The sequence below is a fragment of the Homo sapiens genome, chromosome 4 (genome assembly GCF_000001405.40).
Source record: "Homo sapiens chromosome 4, GRCh38.p14 Primary Assembly".
NCBI lineage: Eukaryota > Metazoa > Chordata > Mammalia > Primates > Hominidae > Homo > Homo sapiens.
In genome coordinates, this window is record NC_000004.12 from 37,111,162 (window position 1) to 37,132,883 (window position 21,722).

The 21,722-nt window shown below is 35.7% G+C and overlaps 2 long non-coding RNA genes across 3 annotated transcripts in view; one reads left to right on the forward strand and one right to left on the reverse strand.

The window, feature by feature from the left end:
* Nucleotides 1–21,722, forward strand: part of LOC101928721 (uncharacterized) — a 60,301-nt gene that overhangs the window by 37,613 nt on the left and 966 nt on the right. For both annotated transcript variants that reach the window (NR_188351.1, NR_188349.1), the window contains exon 4: nucleotides 18,331–18,441. This is a non-coding gene — a long non-coding RNA (uncharacterized LOC101928721). The remainder of the gene's footprint in view (nucleotides 1–18,330; nucleotides 18,442–21,722) is intronic.
* On the reverse strand, nucleotides 820–18,426 carry LOC105374402 (uncharacterized). Its single transcript, XR_925198.2, has 3 exons — nucleotides 18,345–18,426; nucleotides 3,388–3,517; nucleotides 820–1,019 (listed from the first exon to the last, which is right to left on the reverse strand). It is a non-coding gene; the product is annotated as an uncharacterized LOC105374402 (long non-coding RNA).

Genomic DNA, 21,722 nt, shown 5'->3' on the forward strand with positions numbered 1-21,722 from the left:
AGCTCTAGCTGACATGATACGTCAGGGCTGCAGACTAGCTTTGAGCAACAAGGTGCTAGAGAAATACCTATAGAACAACAGAGATGCAAGACAAATGAGTTGGAAGTTAAAAGATTTAAATTCTTGTCTTAGTTTTCTCATTAAAGAAAAGCTGTGTGACTATGAAAAAAAATGGCTCTCTGAGACTTTTGTTTGCTCATCCAAGATGAAAATATTGAAATGTATTATACAATAAACATTTGCAAACAGTGGGTATGTAATAAATTACTGACTATCACTGGAAAATACCATAGAATTCACGTGTTAGGATTTTTAAGGCCCTACTGTTCTAAAGTGGAAAAAGTTGGCACTTACTATCAGGTAACTGTGGTAGAGCTTTCAGATTTCTATTTAATTTTCACTTTCATGTAATAGTCAATTTGACAAATATATATATAAGATCCTGTCACTTTCAATAAACAAGTGAGCCTATAATTCAATGTGGTTCACAGCTGGGTGACCTAAAGTTCATGCTGAAAAGACAAGTTGAAATGGTAGGTGAGTGATGAGACACAGTTCTCATCAAGTGGCTTCATGAAAATATATGGTGCAGTGTGGCTGTCAGTCAAGGTAGCCTCTTAAAGGCAGCCTGAATTAGAATGGTGTATGAATTTACTTTCTATCCCTTGCAGTTCCTCTGCAGAATAGCAAACATATAATTTTAATATAAAACAGACATTCTAGTTCAGAAGTTGTAAGACATAGGTGACCTTTTGAGCCAGAAGACACTGATGTGTACAGAGAGGCAAAATTACTTCACCAAGAAATGCACAAAATTTATCAGATTTCAGCCAGGAAATTTTATTCTTTCTTAGTACAAAAGATGTTTGACGTTCTCTTTTGAAGAAACTTATACAATGGGAGTGACTTAGTGTATCTCAGACAATGTTGGGGCTATCGATTGATGGGTTTCCTTGTCCCAAGGTAGAAGTTCAGTTGAATTGTTGGTGGATCAATCTGATCCAGCCTTTAGGATATGTCTGAAAACCAAAACAATAAGATAGCATTTTTCAGGTTTTTTTTTTTTGTTTGTTTGTTTTAATGATCAACTAAGTCTATTTTGGCTTTTTTTTTTTTTTAACTCTTCAATGTTCCACTAATGCTTGTTACAACAATTCAAAAAGACTTAATAAAGCCTCAGAAAAGTCAATTTGGTTAATTTTCCCCCACAAATAAGTAAATGTGATCAGATGTATTTTCACTTAGTGAAACCTGAGGTGGTTTAAACTTTTCAGTTTATGGGCTGGTTTTTTTTGTTTTGTTTTGTTTTTTATTTGTTTGTTTGTTTGTTTTTTGAGACAAAGTCTTGCTCTGTCACCCAGGCTGGAGTGCAGTGGCATGATCTCGGCTCACTGCAACCTCTGCCTCCCCAGTTTGAGTGATTCTCCTGCCTCAGCCTCCCAAGTAGCTGGGAATACAGGCGCATGCCACCACACCAGGCTAATTTTTGTATTTTTAGTAAAGACAGGTTTCACCATGTTGGTCAGGCTGGTCTCGAACTCCTGACCTCATGATCTACCCGCTTCAGCCTCCCAAAGTGCTGGGATTACAGGCATGACAGTGCCCGGCCTGTTTTTGTTTTTGATTGTTGTGAACCTGAGAATTTTAAGCTAACAGCAACATTTCCATGAAATATATCTCTAAACAAAATAAACATATGACAGTGGATTTAAGATCATTACACCATGCTAAGTTTAACACAAATTCTAGCACAGCATCATATGTGTTTAGATGGATAGAGATGGCCAGCCTGGAGACAACTGCCACATGACTCTGGCAAGGACTTATCCATTTAGCTTTGATGGGCCCTTTAATGCTCACAGAAATCATTCTTCTCCCGCTGGTAGTTTTAGAGAGAGAGGGAAAATATGCAATTTTCAAAATGTAAGTAGCAATCCAGAGAAGGATTATTAACTGTTACATAGCACAAGTATTTGTGACGTTTTCAAGAATCCTCTTAGTTCTGCTATAGGTTGTTTCTTAATCACAATTTTGAAAGTGGGCTATTGAGTCGAAATGGAAGAAATGCTGAAGGAATGAATTTATGATCTATGTGGAAACAGCCCTTACATAGCTTAGCATGTGTCAACATATAGAATGCATATATTAATAATTTGATTTAAAATAAATATAAGTATTGTTATTGAAGTACAAGGATAAATGATGCATATTACCACAATTCTCAGTCCATAAAAATCCAACCCTTTACAGTATTAAAAGCAGCTATATAAAACATTTTTATGTTCTTTTCTCTACCCTTTTCCTGGAGAGTTATGTTACCTCAAGATTTGAACAGTTTTCTGAAGCATTTGGAAATTTCTTAGTTGAGATAATCCCACTTGGATTCTGCCACTTTATCATTATCTTGGGTGGGAAGTAAACATAAGGCAGATAATATGTGAGGCACTTAGCATGATACCTGGCACACGGCCTCCATTGAGCAGTTACAGAATTATTTATGGTATGTTACATAATTTCTAAACTCAATATTACAAAATCAGAGACATTTTCATGCATCATAAGATGTCTTTAATCACTAACTTAGAAAAATAGGTCTTTAGGCCAAACTTCAGAATGGTTGCTAAATATTTAGATTTTTTTAAAAAAACACTAATGAAGAAGCTCAGTCTTTCCCCCTTTTAGCAGACGTGAGTAATTTTCAAGACAGCTCTAGTGGTAAGAACTGGGGCCTCACTCCTTCAATGCACATGTGCTGAAATGTTCTGTTTCCCAGCTTTATAATTAGAGATTATTTCACAATGATTTTCAGTGCAGATAAAATTTAGCTCACTGAAGATATGACAGCCATCATCTCTTATTTTCATTAAACATGCTCTAGAGCGGGTAGTTATAGAAATAAGATAAGAATTAGCATCTGAAAATTTAAAGACGATTGCAAAATCTTTTCCTTAAAAAATTATGGGTTTCCCTTGGCTTAGCTTTCCAATATAAATCAGCATTGCTCCAAGTGACAGCCTCTGGCACCTGATATCTCACATTTTTGAGTGTTTATCTATGTTCATGAAAAAGAAGTCTGATTTCAGTTGTTCCGAAATGTAAGATGTGTCTCACTTTGGGGATTTAGGGACAATTGGCTAAGTGTGCTTTCAAAGCCCAGGTGCCCCCTACACAACTGACCCATTTTTCCCTCTCTGTGTCTCAGCATATACGTATCTCCACCACACATGCTCTTCAATGACAACAGTTTCCTGCATCTCTTACCAATCTTTTGCAGTAAAATAAAAACATTTTCAGAAACCGTTTCTAATTCCATTTAAAAAATAAATAAAACCTTATTGATGTGGGATCATCAAACAAACCAAGTTATTTTCTTTGATATCCACTTACCAAGAAAATAGGTTGATCCATGTTGACTGGCTTCCATGTTCCTTAGTGGCCCTGTCAGCATTCAGAGACCGTGACAGATTTTGGCTTAGTTTTCTTGGAGCCAAGCACTGATGCTCTTCCAAAAGAAGGCCTAAGAAGCAAAGGAGGTGCTCTGGAAAGGAAAAGCCTCCAAGATGTAGGTCTACTTTTTATCTGAATTGTTTCCATCTCATTGCTGTGATATGCAAGGCTATTCCACGCACATTCCTACCAGGCATGCTTCTGATATGAGTGATCACTAAAGGGAGCTTAAAAATAGAAATGATCCTACATTTCATTTGAGTGTCACAATTCCTTCTACTGTCTTCTGGAAAACCAAAAGAATAATCATAGAAACAAAGACATCCCTTTCACTATCTTCTTCCTCATTAATTTCAGGATAAGGGGTTGCTGAATTGTCCACTAACTTTCCTTTCTCACTTAGAAAATTTATGACTTAGTAGCGGTGTTACTTGGCATTAGACAAGCCAATCTGAAGGTCATGTGGAGTCAGGGGTGAGTTGGCACAGGTAAGACAAGACAGTGAAGTGCAGAGAGAAGCAAATAAAGCAAATGAGTCAGAAAGACAAAGACAGGAGGCCGTTTTGCCCCCAGCAAATAGAGAATGTAAGCTTGGTCGCTGACTTTCTAGTTCCCACTTCTAGCAGCTAATGAGACTTCGCTGTTTCCTGTCCTGGTAGTCTACAAGATACCACTGCTTCCTTCCAATTGATTCTTCCAAGAATTCATCCAACACATATGAATTGAGTCTGTACTATGTGTTCAGCATTGTAGCAGGTACTAAGTACATAACAGAGTAATGAAATAGACATGGTAACTAACCATCATCATAGATTTTAGATTGACATGAAAGAGAATCATTGACTAGGTAATTACACCAAAAAATATGAAAAGGAAAATACAATGTGCTATGAAAGCATGTAGTTTGGGTAGCATAGATCATTATCCCAGTCAGAGGGAGAGATGGTTGCTGGTTAGTGGGGATCTCTTTGAGACAGCGCCGTGTCAGCTGATACCTGAAGGATGACGGGCAATTGACTAGCTAAAGAGGGAGGGGTGGGTGAAAACATTCCAAGCAACAGTAAGAGCTGTGTGAAACTGAGGATTAAAAAATTGGCATTTTGAGGAAATGCCAATATAAGGAAATCTAATATGACCCCCCCGCCAAAAAAAAAAAAAAATGAAGAGGGGTCAAAAAAAATGAAGTAAGGGTCAAAACTTGGAAATGTTTTTAAGGATTTTTGATTTTATTATAAAGGCAAGGATAAGTTAAATAAGGTTTTTTTTTTTTTTAAAAAGGTGGTGACATAATTAGGTTTGCATTTTGCATCATTTACAAGAAACCACGTCTGTTGCATTAATGAGTGAGAGAGATGATATTGGCTGGGACTAAAGCAGTGGTTCTCACCTGGGAGCAGTATTGCTTCCCAGTGGATATCTGGTAACGTTTGCAGACATTTCTGATTGTCGTAATTCTAGGGGGAGGGCGGGAAGGTTGCTATTGGCATCTAGTGGATAGAGGGCAGTGATGGTGCTAAACATTCTATGATGCATATGACAGCCTACCACAACAAAGAATTCTCTGATCCAAAATGCCAATGGTGCTAAGGTTGAGAAACCATGGAGTAGATTGAAGGTAGTAAAAATGAAGAGAAGCAGCATACTAGAAAGATAGTTTGGAAATAACATTTGTGATATTTAGTGATTAGACAGAGTGGTCAGGCATAAAGAGCAAAAAAAATTTGACTCTTGGATTTCTAGCTTGAGCAATTGTTGATTGGTGGTACCATGAACTGATTTAGAGAACAATGTTGGAAGAACAAGGCTGGAAGAAGTAGAGTAGAATAAAGAAGATGAAGAGTGCCATTTTGAATATTGTGCCTTTGAGGTACTTTTAAGAGAGTCAAGAGAATTTTCTAACATACATTTACATAAGCAATCCAAGGATTTAGCAGAAAGCACAGGGTGGAGTTAAGTACGTAAGAGTTGTTATGAGGCATAAATTAGATACTTCCTATGAAGAGTTTAGTGTGGTGCCTGGCACATTGTAATTATTCAATAAATGGTCTTGCTATGTTATTGAGAGTGTTGGGGAGTAGACTGTAATTGAAGCCAAGAAAGTAAATAAGACTGCCTCAGGAGAAGATGTAAAGTGAAAGAAAAAAGGATGGATCCCTACACAATACCGAAAGAGAAGCAGCAGGCAGAAGAGCTAGGAACTACAACTGTGCAGTCAGATATGGGGGAAAACAAGGAGTGTGTGTGTGTATCTCATGAAACAAAGGGAGGGAAGGGTTTCAAGAGGAGTGAGTGATCAATCATATTAAATGCTGCTCTGAGTTCAAGTAGATTGAGAATTATTTTTTTTCCAAGTAAATTTAGAGATGAGAAAGTCATTGGCGATCTTGGAAAATACTGATTTGGTATAGCAGAGGGAAGAGTAGGAGTGGGTTGGAGAATGAAGAGAAGAAATTGTAACTTTTCACCAACCTTTGTGAAAGTGCTGGCTGCAAAGGATAAGAGAGTAGAGCTATAACTGGAGCAATATATGGGTGGTTTATCATTATTATCATTGTTGTCCAAGATAGGAGACATTTGGCATGTTTAAATGTTAATGCATGACTAAATGTAAACAGAAGAAGGTTGAAGATAAAGAATATAAAGAAAATAATTTGGGGGGCAAGATTTCCAGGAAGGAAGAAGGAGAATATGGCAAATAATATGACTGTCATAGCCCACATAAACACCTTACTGATTTGTTAATTTATTACTTTGTGTAAAGACAGTTGATAAAGACTAAAGTGTGAAGACCCTAAGGAATTAGAAGTGAGAGCATCGCTAAAGAGAATGCTTGTGTGTTTGCTTTTCTAGGTTTAATAGTATTTGAGTATTAAAGGACATTAGAAGTCTTTTTAGGACTCTCTTCACAGCCAATTTTTGCTTTTATTCACTTTATTAACTTAGGGCATAATATTGTGTTCTAAATCAATACCTTTCCTATGGGCCTAAGAATGAGAAATAATGAATCCTACTTGTAATTATGAATACATTCACAAATTTATTTGGTAGTTAGGAGGAACATGACTTTGAAACTTTTCATAATGCAATCAAGAGCTTTATGAGAGTATGTGACACGTGTAAGTAAAGAGAATAGAAAAATCATGGATTAAGATCTTCACATTCTGTGGTAACCTGTGGCTTAGCTGTGGGGGAGAGAGATGGAGTATTGGGAGTGGATCCCAGCCATGCCACTGACAAGCCATGTGACCTTGAGCAAGTTGCCTAATGTCTCTATGTCTCAGTTTCCTGGTCTGAATGAAGGGAATCATAATAGTTTTACATTTATAGCGGTCATCCAGAGGATTAAATGAGATAATGAATGCAACAGTCCACAAGTGATGATTTAATACTATTTTTAGAGTGGACTATTTCTTTGCCAGGTCAGTGAGCTGAACATTCTATTTATTTTTATACTCACTGTTTAAATACTCCTAGATTTAATTCATTCTCTTGAATATCTAATATCAATTTAAAATCATGACAATTGGCTTTAATACCTAGAGTAATTGAGCAATAAAGCATTCTTCGTCTTGTTTCATAGGGCATTGTCTACCTAAAAGCATCAACCTAAATCCTAAAGATGAGAGGAAAATCAAGTAAGAAGAGATAGAAACTGTCTTTGCCTGTCTATTTGGAGTCCTTCCGTTATCGGTTCCGGTGCTCTGACCTCTCATTTATTACATTTTTTCCAATAAGAAAGCACAGAGATGAAGAAATAAAAGTGCTCTCAATGGAAATATTTTACAAGAAGAAAACCTTAGCTTGGTTCTCTTTGCCATACATTGAATAGCCACTATCTTCCTGTCACTCATCTTGGCATTTTATGCTTTTGAGAAAGAAACATGCAGAAGAAAAATGTCAGAAGCAGCAATTATGCAATTGAGCTGATCCACATTTCAAAGGGCCTGGACAGGGCAAATGCCATGACTCTTCATTGCTCCAGAACCAAAAACTAATTGAGTCAGCTTCACCTCTTTGCTTTGAACATGCCTTGGCTGAAGGTTAATCACATTAATTTCTGTGAGTCAATGTTTTGCCCTGTCCTGGAAAAAAAAAACAAAAACTATCAGCCATTTCAATAGTTAGATCCCCATGTGACGATTTTCAAAATTTCCTGAACCACCAGAATCCTGGCAACTTTGTAGGTATGTTTTGGGTTCTTTTTTCTATGCAACAAATATCGGGCTGTTGAGAGTCTAGAAACTATTGCCTTTGCAAATCAGGGTTTCTTAATTGAATTATAGGGAGGACAAGAGAAAATGGGTATTCGAATTGTGAATTAGAATTGTGAATGAATGCTTTTGCCAACCAGCAGTCACTGAAGTCCAAAATAAAATGAGACCCTAAGCCTTTCTCCCATTTTCCTCTCAAACTAACTTTTTACCTAAAAAAAAATCTGGGCTCACATGTGGTCAGCTCATCACTAGACCAAAAACATAAAAACAAATGCATGCTTTACATGAGATAAAATTTTAACTCATTACAATGCTTAATTACTAAAATGATGACAGAGACAAGTACTTCTTAAATTGTAATGTCCATACAAATCACTGGAGATCTTCTTAAATTGCATATGCTGTTTCAGTAAACTTGGAATGGGGCCCAATATTCTGATTTTAAACAACTAATTCTATTACCTTTGGATTCAAGTTTTGTACATTGCATTAATTAGTTCACAATAAAATCACTTCTAATAATTTATCTCATTATTGCCTAATCTAGTCAAAATTTTGTGATTCAGAATCCAGTTCACAATTTCAGTCCATCAGAGTCATCATAAAAGCAAGTTTTAAAAAGCACATTGATGGTCAGCTAATTTTCAACTGACCACGAAGATTATTTAGAGGTATCCAATTACCCAAGTCTTAATTATTAAAAGTTTGCTGAGATGGGTCATTATGATATGTACATAATTTTATATTTGACTCTTTGCTTTTGATTGTCCTCAGGTGTAAATTTTAACTTTTTAGACTGCAAAATAAAATTTGAGATATAAATTTAGGGTCTGTTCATATACTACAACATACACATTTTTTATTATGAAGTGATATAAATGATATAAAAGAAACCTGAAAGTCATCATTAGTATAACCTTGCAACTGAGGCGGAGTAAATATGTAGGCCCGAGTGAAAGCACTGAAGAATCTGATGCATTGCTTTTGGACAAAATCTCTGGAACTAATGGCATTAAGAATAGATAAACAGCAAAGTCCTAGTTCAAAATATGCCTAGCATCTAACAGTTTAACATACACGAATTCTTAGAGTATTGAACTTAGCTAAATTGCAAGGCTCTGCTCTATTCACCAAAATTCTTTGCCAGAGGAGACCGGTAAGAAAAATACTGCCATAGCAGAGCTTTTTAATATGCAGAATATATTTCCCAAAGCCTTTTTCTCTATAGAATATTACAGCCATCCTCACTCTCCATTTTCACTTTGTCCTCCTGTTATACCTGATAAATCCTAACCTTAGATAAACCCAACAGTCTGTCTTCTCAGTGCCTGCACTCCAGTAGCTGAGACCCTCAAGAGCAAATCACATCACCAGGTTGACTGATAGCACTTTCAATTTCTCATTACAGGTCTCAGCTGAGCTCTAGACATCCCTTATGATCGTAATACATTGTTCCAATCATTCTGCCCTTCCTTCATACTCCTTAGGAGAACCACCCCACCCATGTCCCCTTCCCTATCAGTGGATGGCCTTAGTGAAATATGCTTGTAGGTAAGACCGTGAGCTCCAGAAGCAAATTATTTGGGTTTTATTAAGGCTCTGGCAACTTTTATAAATGTAACTTCAGGCATAGTTTATATATATATAATTTCAACTTTTATTTTAGATTCAGGAAGTACATGTGCATGTTTGTTATATGGGTATATAGCATGACGCTGAGGCTTGGGATGTGATTAATCCCGTCATCCAGGTAGTGAACATAGTACTCAATAATTAGTTTTCAACACTTGTGCCTGCTCCCTGCCTCCCTTGTAGTAGTTCCCAGTGTCTATTGTTGCCATCTCTGTGTCCATGGGTATTCAGTGTTTAGCTCCCACTTATAAGCAAGAACATGTAGTATTTGGTTTTCTGTCCCTGCACTAATTTGCTTAGGAGAATGGCCTCCAGTTGCATCCATGTTGCTGCAAAGGAAATGATTTTGTTCTTTTATATGACTGCATAGTATTCCATGGTGTATGTGAACCAACAATTTTTTAATCCAATCCACTGTTAATGGGCACCTAGGTTGATTCCATGTCTTTGCTATTGTGAATAGTGCTGTGATACACACAAGTGCATGTGTCTTTTTGGTAGAAGGATTTATTTTCTTTTGGACATATATACCCAGTAATGGAATTTCTGGGTCAAATGATAGTTTCAAGTTCTTTGAGAAATCTCCAAACTGCTTTCCACAGTGGCTGTACTAATTTACATCCCCACCAACAATGTATAAGCATTCCCTGTTCTCCACGGTCTTACTCACCAGCATCTATTATTTTTTGACTTTTTAGTAATATACATTTTGACTGGTGTGAGACAGCATCTCATTGTGATTTGGATTTGCATTTCTCTGATGATTAGTGATGTTGAGCATTTTTCATATATTTGTTGTTCATATGTCTTCTTTTGAAGAGTGTCCATGCTTTTGTCTGCCTTTTTTTTTTGCTTGTTGAATTACATTTATTATAGATTCTGGATATTAGAACTTCTTTGAATGCATAGTTTGCAAATACTTTCTCTCATTCTTTAGGTTGTCTGTTTACTCTGTTGATAGCTTCTTTTTGCTGTGTTGAAGCGCTTTGGCTTAATTAGCTCTCATTTGTCAGTTTTTGGTTTTGTTGCAATTGCTTTTGAGGACTTGGTCATACATTATTTCCCAAGGCCCAGGTGCAGAATGGTGTTTCCTAGGTTTTCTTCTAGGATTCTTATAATTTAAGGCCTTACATTTAAATCTTTAATCCATCTTGAGTTAATTTTGGTATATGGTGAAAGGTATACCATTCTTCTGCATACCACTAGCCAGCTATCCCAGCACTATTTACTGAATAGGGAGTCCTTTTCCCATTACTTATTTTTGTTGGATTTGTTGGAGATTAGATGGCAATAGGTGTGCAGCTTTATTTCTAGGTCCTCTACTCTGTTCCACTGGTCTATGTGTGTGTGTTTGTACCAGTACCATGTTATTTTGGTTACTGTAGCCTTATAGTTTCAAGTAAGATAATGTGAAGGCATACATTTAACAGCTCTGTGCCTCTGTGTCTTATTGGTAAAATAGAGACAATAGTAGCTCCTCTCTCATAAGGTTAGTATAAATAGTAAATGAGTCAGTATATGTAAATCTTCCAAAATAATACTTGCAATCAAGAAAAGTTACTATTACCTGTATTCTAATTATATTTTCACAGGAAAAATAGAAGTCACCAGGTAGAAATTCCCTTAACTGTCCAACCCCATACCAACAAATCCATCTTCACCTAACTTTCCTTCTTCCCATCTTTTATATTATGCTTCCCTTGGGGAAAAGTCCACCTCTTCACTTGTGCTCTAGAGCAGGAGTTGGCAAACTATGATCCAGGGACCAAATCCCACCTGTTTTTGCATGACCCAAGAGCTAAGAATGATTTTGATATCTCTAAATACTTGAAGAAAATTCAAAAGAAGAATATTTTTTGACACGTAAAAATGATATGAAATTCAAAGTTCATTATCTACAAATAAAGTTTTACTGGAACATAGTTATACTGGTTCCTTCACATACTGTCTATGGCTGCTCTATGTCAGAGTTGAGTCATGGGGACAGACACTGAAATGACAGCTGAGTTTAAGATATTTACTTATCTGACGCTTTAAGGAAAAAGTATGCCGACCCCTGGCTTAGAGCCCATTCCTTCCCACTATGGCTCAACCACTTCTTATCTACTGGATCTTTCCTATAAGCATTCAAAGATGTCCAAATTTGTCCAATCCTAAAATAAAACAAAACAAAAGCTCCATTCCACAACTCGCTCAATGTCTTTCACAACCCCACCGGTCAGAATCATACATACCTCTTGAATAAATTTCTTCCCTTTCTATTCACTATTCAACCTACTACTTGCTAGTTTCCACTCACTAAACCAAAAATCCTCTTGCTAAGGTTACAAATAATTTCTATATTTCTCATGTCAGAAATCATTTTACTTGAAGCTCTTTGCAGCATTCAACATTGGCCATCTTTTCTTTTAGTTTCCCTGACACGACACTTATGGGATTTCTCATCTTCTTACCTCCTCCACCACCTACTCCATAGCTTATGTCAGAAATGTCACGTATCCAATCACCAAGTCTAATGATTCTTCATCCTAAATATGTTTCAATATATCCACTTTTCCCCATGACTACTGATATCACCCTAGAACAAAAAAACATTCTTCTACCTAGATATCTCAAATCTCCTTTTCATTCCCAATCATTTATTTCTCCATGAAGCATCCAGCAGTGATTGTATTAGGTTGGTGCAAAAGTAATTGTGGTTTTTGCCATTAAAAGATAAAATCTTATCACGTAGCTCTCTTTAAAATCATCCGATAGCTGTCCATTGCTGTTAGATTGAAGAGTGTTTCTTCTTACATTGATTTTAACTTTATTATAAAAAGTCAAAAATATTTAAGTAGAGAATATTATATAGAGCTCCAAACATTTACCACCTAGTCTTAATACTTATTATCATTTTACCATATTCTTCATCTGCTTTCTGTTTGTTTAATTATTTTTTATTGTGGTATAATATATATAATATAAAATTCACTATTTTAACCATCTTTAAATGTACAGTTCTGAAGCATTATGAACTGCAATGCAACCATCACCACCATCTATCTCCTAAAGACTTCATTCTTTGCATTATTTTTACATATGTCCCTGCCTGAATGATTCCCTGCCATGAACTGTTCTCTTGGACACCAGTGTATCCCCAGAGCCTACCATACTGATAAGAATCACATCATTATTCAGTCAATATCAGTTAAAAAGTTGAGTGAGGCCTTCGGGTCACTTCTTAAATATCACCAGCTCAGGCTGCTCAGATATTGTTGTAAAGATCAAATTAAATAATTTATGAAAATCCTTTTTGTAATCTCCAACCCCGGTGTACATCATGATATTATTATTGAAGAAACTAGGCATAAGCAAATGAAAATAAAGTACATTTGAAATGACCAGGAAGCACATATTAAATTGCCATATTGCATACTATGTATTAATGCATCCCAAAGTGAAATTCTTAAAATGCTAGCTTATGAAATAGTTAAAAAAAGAAACTTTTTACTTAGATTAATAAATTGGGGAAATGCTTCAAATAATTGTTCCCCTCCCCTTTGTAGATACGCAATTTAAACTGTTGTATGGGGCATTAAAAATAAAAATTCAACTTTTTTAACCAAGAATTTTATCAGCTTCTTTTTGTGACCAGAGAACTTTTCTCAAAATTTTTGTTAATTACTCACATGAACTAGTTTTTATAGAATCTAGTATGGTAAAACCTGGGGTTCTACCCCCGGTTCCTTCTAGAGATACTATATTAGCAAAAGCAAGATTATTATAGATTCAAGAATGTTTCAGGTATAAGTTGGAATGTGAGCTGGGCAGTTAAGAAAATAAAAGTTAGATAAGCAAGGGAAAAGGCATTTCATAGATTGGTATTAAAATAATACTTGACCAGGTGCGGTGGCTCACGCCTGTAATCCCAGCACTTCGGGAGGCCAAGGTGGGCAGATCATGAGGTCAGGAGATCGAGACCATCCTGGCCAACATGGTGAAACCCTGTCTCTGCTAAAAATACAAAAATTAGCCAAGTGTGGTGGCACGTGCCTGTAGTCCCAGCTACTCAGGAGGCTGAGGCAGGAGAATTGCTTGAACCCGGGAGGCGGAGATTGCAGTGAGCCGAGATCGTGCCACTGCACTCCAGCCTCGTGACAGAGTTAGACTCTGTCTCAAAAAAAAAAAAAAAAAAAAAAAAAAGTCAAAGAAATGGAATTAATTTAGAATTATTCTAATAGTTTCACAACCATGTGTTTGTAGTCTTTTGTCTCACGTGCCCTGTACAGTAGCATGAATACAGTGTTACTTAATACAACAGTCATGCATTGAGTAATTCCTTGGAGAAAGAAAATAAATTCCTTCATAAATGTGAGTGTTTATGGAACTAAGCTACTGGGACTAAAATATATCACTGGATATTAATGCATTCTAAGAGTAATATACTCTAAAAAGAAAAAGGTAAAATGGTATCTTTCACTGAGCACTTAATATGCCTCACAGAATAAGATAGATTGACTGAATAAATAGCCCTGATTTTTTAAGCCTCACTGTAACCGAGCTTTTGCCATCTAACCTTTTAGTGTCTATGTGAATTCACGCCAAGTCATGTGACAGTTTGCATAATGAAGTGTCAGCAGATGTGATGGAAACAGAAGTAAATAAAATATTTGCACGTTGCTGCTTGCTCCCTTTTACCTCAGCCTTTACCAGGGAGAACAAACCCAGCTAACCTGCTAGAGGATGACAGACACGTCAACCAGAGCTGGTGTCCCAGTCACCCAAGCCAAGGCCATTCTACCTAAGCCCACAGCTAATTCACCTCCAGAAATGTGAGCAAGCCTAGCCAAGATCAGCCAAGCCAAGCTCAGAGAGACAATTTAGCACAAACTATCAAAAGCTTTAAAAGATGTCTTTATCTATAGTTAGAATTACACATTTAAGAATCTACCTTATTGGGAAAAATACAGTCAAAGATTTTATAGAAAAAAAATTTTTTCAGTGTTATTTATAATTGTGAAAAAATTGTATTATCCTAAAATTTTCGAGGTAAGTTATTAATTATATTAAGTGTGGTTATTCCAACAATGCTACACCACTTTTAAAATGAAACCCACCCTTCTGCACATGTACCCTAGAACTTAAAGTATAATAAAAAAAATAAAAATAAAAATAAATAAATAAATAAAAAGAAAATCTCTAAGGCAGAAGGAAAATGATACCAAATGAAAATATAAATCTACACAAATAAACGAAGAGCACAAGAAATGGTAACTATTAAATTCTGTTGGAAACTATAAAAAATTTCTTATTTAAATCTATTTACAAGACAACTATGTGTTTAATGCAAAGACCATAGCACAATATTTTAAGGTATATAAAATATATGCAAGTAAAATACATGCTAACAATAGCACAAGGCCTGGAGTTGAGAAGATAAAGGGAAATATTTTCTTGTAAGGTTCTTATACAATATGTGAAGTGACATATTTGAAGAGAGAGTATGATACATTAAGATGAATACTATAAACGCTAAACAGAAGCATGAAAATAACACAAAAAATTGTTATAGCTAGAAAACCAAAGCAGACAAAATGGAATCACAAATCTAGTCAATTTATTCAAAAGTAATCAGGAACAAAAGGAAAAGGGAAAAACAGATGAGACAAATAGAAAACAAATAGCAAATTAGTAGGTGTTAACATGACTTTATCAATAATTACATCAAATGTAGATGATGTTAACCATGGATTGACAAACTTTTTCTTTATAGGACCAGACAGTCAATATTTTAGGCTTTGAGGCCATATGGTATCTGTCATAACCACTCAACTGAGCCATTGGAGAGTGAAACCAGCTGTAAACATTACATTAAAAAATGAGCATGATGACCATGACTGTGTTTCAATCAAATTTTATTTACAAAAATATGTGGTAAGCTGTTAAGCTGTTGTTTGCTGACCTCTGATCTAAACATATTCATTGAGAGGCAGAGCCAGTCAGATTAGACATAAAGCAAGGCCCAATTGGATGTTGTCTACAAGACTCCACCTTGTACATAAAGACAACAATAGGTTAAAAGTTAAAAAGTGGGAAGTATATAATACATTAACACTAGTCAAAAGAAAGCTAGGCAGGCTCTATTAATACCTGAAAGAATAGATTTTAGGATAAAGAATGTGACCAGGTGTAAAGAAAGTCATTTCATAACGATAAAGGGGTCAACCCAGGTGACATAACAATCCTAAACATCTAGGCACAAAATAAACAAACTTCCAAATATATGAGGCAAAAATACCATTTATACCATTACAATCAGATTTTTCAATATCTTCACTGAAAAGTAGAACAATTAGAAAAATGACTAAAGATCCACCAACTAGTCCTTAATGCCATTTATAATGCACTCCATTTAACAATAGCAGGATACACTTCCAAGTGCACACAGAACATTTACCAATTTAGATCATAATTTAGACCATCAATTAAGTCTTGGTAAGTTTCAAATGATTCAATTCACACAAGGTATGTTCTTTTATCACAATGGAATTAAATTAGAGATCAATAACAAAAAGATATCTGGAAAATCTCCCCCCAATATTTGGAAACTAAATATTACACTTCTAAATAGCATAGTGACTCAAAGAGGCAATTATGAGGAAAATTAGAAAGTATTTTGAACTGAATAAAAATATAAATGTCAAATATCCAAATTTGGGGATGCTGCTAATGCAGTATTCAGGGCACTGGACACTTGAATTAGGGGGAAAAAAGAAATCTCTCAAATCAGTGACCTCAGCTTAGAAACTAGAAAAATGAGCAAATTAAACCTAAAGTAAGCAGAAGACAGAAAATAAAGATTAGATCATAAATCAGTGAAATTTTAAAAATAGAGAAATGAATAAAAAAATAGTTCTACCGTCATTATAATCATTAAAAGTAATAAAACACTAACCAGACTGGCAAAGATAAAAAGAAATAATACAGAAATTACCAATTTCATGAATGAAAGAAGTAACATCAATACAGATTCTATGTATATTAAAAAGACAGTAATAGAATATTATGGGGAACTTTAAGCCAATAAATTGTACAATATAGATGAAATGGACATATTTCGTGAAAGACAAAAATGACAAAAGTGTAATAAAAAATAATTGCATAGCCTGATTAGTCATATATCTATTAAAGATATTCAATTTGCATTTAAAATACTTGTTACAAAGAAAACTCCAGGCCCAGATGCCCTCACTGGGCATCTACCAAACATTTAGGTAAGAAATAATATAAATTATACACAGATGTTTCCAAAAATTTCAAGAGGAAAGAATATTTCCCAACTCATTCTGAGGTCCCCATTATTCTGATACCAAAGTAGATAAAGACATTACAAGAAAACCACAGACCAACGTCCCTACAAACGTGGATGAAAAAAAAATGTTAACAAAGTTTAGCAAACTGAATCCAGTAATATATAAAGAGGATAATACATCATGACCACATGAGGTTTGTCCCAGTAATACTAAATTCATTTAACATTCAAAGCCCAATCAATGTAACTCACAGAGACAAAACAACCACCCTTTATGATTGCCTTAATAGATGGAGAAAAAGCATTTCACAAAATCCACCATCTGCTCCTGATAAAAGCTCTCAGAAAACTAGAAATAGTAGAGTACTATATCAACCTGATAAAGGGCACTTATAATAAAACCTACAGCTGATACCATACTTAATGGTGAAAAACTGAATACTGTCCTACGATCAGGAGCAAAACCAAATATTCACTTTCATGACTTCCATTCAACACTATACTGAAGGCTCTATCCATTACCATAAGGTAAGAAAAGTAAAATATAAATGCCAACCAGATTGGAAAAGACAAAGTAAAGGTTTATTTGTGCATGATGTAATTGTCTATGTAGAAAACACAATAAGATCTATAAAAAGCTATTAAAACTAAGAAGTAATTTTTAATAAGGCTGTAAATTATCAGATCAATATGTACAAACTTTATTTTTAATATCAGTAATGAAAAATCAGAAATCAAAATCAACAAAATATACCATTTAAAATAGCATTAAAAATAATGAAACGCTTACAGATAAACCTGACAAAAGAGACGTAAGACCTACACACTGAAATTATACATATAGCTGAGAGAAATTAAAGAATTCCTAACTATATTGAGAACTATATCATGTTCATAGATCAGCCAGCACAGTATTAAGATGTCAATTCTTCCTAAAATGATCTATTGATTCAACACAATTACAATCAAAATTTCAATAGGCACCCTTATTTTAATTGACAGGCTGATTCTAAATTTATACAAAAATGCATGAGACTTAGAATATATAAAACAACTTTGAAAAACAAAAACAAATTTGAAAGAATTATGCTATACAATTTCAAGACATAATATAAAGATACAGTAATCAAGGCATTAGTGAAAGTAGAGGCATGCAGGCCAATGGCACAGAATAAAGAACCCAGAAATAGACTCATACATATATAGCCAACTCAACTTTGACAAAACTGCAAAGGCAATTAACATACTCTTTTCAGCAAATAGTGCTGAGATTTATTGGTTACACTTGTCTCTGGTAATTGTATTATATTTTGCCAATAAAAGTACAGTGCTTCAGCAGAGGAAAAGGCCTTAATGAAACTTGGCAAATAAATACTGTTTAGCTGACTTCACGTTACCACATCCGTTTCTCTATATCCGAACATAAAGCCCAAGGTCCTGTCTAATTATGCAGACATGAAAGAGAATAGGTTATATATAATATATGTTGTATATTATATACCATATGTTATATATTCCAAAGGATTTTATCTTACATAATTGTGGGAACTTTTAAGCACTATTTTTATCTCTCTAAAGTTGTTGTTGTTATGTCTGCTCTGGGGCTTGAAGTTCACAGGACAGGCAATCAGAAAGGAAATAACATGGAGGAGAACAAAGATCAGTTAAATTCATGAGCACAGCTGGAACCCAAGTTAGTTCTTACTGCCTCTGACATTGTTGACCTGATGCTCTTCCTCATAGAGCTGAATGCACACCTGGCCCAAGAGCTGGAGAAGCTAAAGGCGGGACCAGGGAAAGGTGGAGCGGTTGCAGACTCAGCTGCTGGCCCACATCAACAAGGTGAGCCAGCAGGTAAGCAACATCGTGGGAGAGTTACAGAATGGCTACCGCTTCATTTCCACCTCCCAAGTCTTCCACAAGAATGTCTCTCTTGGCTACGCTAACTGAAAACATTCACAGAAGGGAATTATGGGAAATGTAGCTCAACCTAGCCAAGCTTACACATTAGGAGGCCACCACAGGTACCACAGCCAACAAATTAAGGACCCATGGCATACGATATCGCTCTCTAAGAGACTCACAGCACATTAATATATCAAAGACTCAGCAAAGTCCTTGCATTTAAAAATAAATTAACTGTTCCACCTGGATATAGGATTTCCCACACTTATTAGAATCACTGATTTAGATTAGCATGATGAATTTACTGTGGAAACTTAATGATTGCTTATTGGTGTGATGTCTTGTTTTTTGGCATATTTCTCTGAGTAAATCCTAGAGAAACTCTATAATGAGATGCTGTGTTTCTTTAAAGTGTCAGTGTAAGTGCTGGGTACCAAGTAAAAAAGAGTTTCTTCGATTTACGAATCAGTATATCCAAACACTCAATTTCAAGGAAAGATATACTGCAGTTATGGAATAGTTTGGAGAAATTTAGACTTCTTAAATCATCCTTAAGTAACCTGTTTTAAATGCTGTGACTCTATTTTATTGTCATTAAAGGCTTAATAAATAAAGTTCATTTTATTTCCTATTTGAAAGTGACTGTAGTAAAACTTCCTTCAGAAGCAATGGACACACACACATCTTGCAATTTAGTTATTGTAGTCAACATTTTAAAACTAGATTACAAAACAGCTACCACTGAAGGCAGCATAGTAACAGTTAAGAGCGTGGACTCTGGAACCAGGCTGCCTGAACTTGAAACAGATCTACCACTTATTGATGACATTAAGTCACATCACTGTTCTGAGCCTCATTTTTTTTCATATGTAAAATGGGGAGAGTAATATTTTCCTCTTCACAAGTTATTATGAATAGTGAAGATTTTAAGAATTGAAAAGTGTTTTAAACAGTGCTTGGCACACTGTGAGTGCTGTGCGTGTGTGTGCATGTGTCTGACAAGCTCCCAGTCTGTGACATGTGCCACGTACTCACTGACTCATTTAATCCTCACAATTCCTTCAGGGCCCATACTATTATCCCAATTTTATAGATGAGGAAACTAAGTCAAATAGAGGTGAAGAATCCTCTCTCAGGTTACAGGGGCTGAGGTAGTGCCAGGACAAAACTCTAGATGGCTCTGACTCTGAGACATGGTCTCATTCCACAAGGCCATGGTGGCTCCCAAGCAGCTTTAAATCTCTCTGAGACTCCTTCCTAAAAGTCTCAAAAGATGAGATCAAATTGAATAGGTCCAGAAATGGAATTAGTTCCTCTCCCAAGGGGTGCTAAAGTTGTTGCTGTCACTCATTCTTGACCTAGACTAGATACGAACGTGGAACTTAGAATGAAAGGCTCCATCGGTTGATTTTGCCCTGAGTTTACACAGTCCCTAGAAAGTTCTTTAAATACCTTCAATCAAGGGCTTAGAAAAATTTTTAAAAATAACCTTGCACATACAATTAGAAACTGGCATGTGGGGAATTAAATATGAAAAATGAAATCGTTTATAATTATCAGGGACTACTTGAAGGGAGGTGCTTTGAAGAAAATACCTTGGACTCTCAAAACCCACACAAAGGGGGCTGACGTGACTTGTTAGTGGCAGAACTCATGTGAGCCCAAGGGCAAAGATCCTGAACCAAGGGGCTCTCTGTATTCAGAAGGTCAGAGGTAGAGACGAGGCTGGAAGGGTCTGGGGCAGGTATGAGTGTGTTAATATGATTATAATGACTATTACAGAAATGTAAGGCAAGAAAATATTTTTAAAGTAAGAATGAAATAATCCGTTTGACATCATGTATCTGTGTGAATATGCATGCATGACAGAATTAGAATTTAAAAATAAACTTAGATCTATATTAACTGGTACAGATGCCATGCTGCATTAAGAGGAAAGAAGAAAAATCATATTGCAAAGCATGACTCTATTTAGCTAACAGTACACACAAAAAACCCCCTATGAGTGTCTAGATGTTTCTCTGTGTGTGTGTGTGTGTGTATGAGTGTGAGTATGTGTGTATACGCATCTTTGCATGAGCAAGGAGGTAGGTAAGAAAGCATATACAGCAAGTGTTTATCATTGGTTAGCTGAGAGATACAGTAGTGAGGGTGGGTAGAAAATGGTTGGATTGGCTTTTACACAATTTTTGTCAAACATTATTCCTTCTTAAAATAACATTTTATTGGAGTTATAATTTGAAACCATTCTATAAGATAACATTAAATATTAAAGTCATAATAAGATTGAAAAATGTGAATGCCTGTGTTGGGATATGGATAGTAAGGGCTAGCAGTGTGGCACACATTCAGCAAGCAGACAAGCAAGAATTTGAACCTTTGTCTACATAAAGCTAAAATTATGCTTCTTTCACTACATCATGCACCTTGAGGAATTCTAGACATACAGCTCTGTAGTTAGTTCATCTTGTTCCCTGGCAGCACATTGCTGCCCAAACAGCAAGCCAAATGATAAGGTATCTCAGAATTTATGCCAGACAAGATAGTTATTTTCAATATTCCATTTGAAGAAGCTGTGGATTTTATGAAACAAATAACTAGTCACGGGGCAGATATGCTGCTTCAGACCATGTAGAAAGCTTTGTAATCTCGACAATGTGCTACAGATAAAAAGCAAAGGAGGAAGATATGAATGTCATTCAAAAGCCAATGAGTCTGGGGGCTGAGTCAAGTTTATTTGCTCTAAGTGAGATTTTTATTTCTAACCAGGGGTTTGAGAAAGGAGCCTGACTTTAATTACAGCCCCTTGGTACACTCTTTCCTGTTTCTCACTGAAGGATGGTATTCCCTCCAACCACCACCAGGGTTTTTTCCTCAGTCTACATGGTGGATGTCAATCACAGTTCCTGATCCATACCCATGTGACCTCTGAGAATGGAAACCTGCCACTGGCCTGCTCCTGCTAGGTGCTCTGTAAAAGACTGAATGCAATCTTTTAAACAAAAATAAAAAGAGAAGCCACACTTTAGATATACCCCAAAGCCAGCCACTTATACCAACATAGTCAAAATTTAAGTCATCCTGATTTCCCTGAAACACTAGCTCTAATTACAAATGAAACAAAAAATGTAGGCTTTACAACCCTGTTAGCATGATTCAGCAAAATTAAACCAACCAGTCATACATAAATCAGCTTAAAAACTCTACTTGTCTTCAAAAGAATATTAATG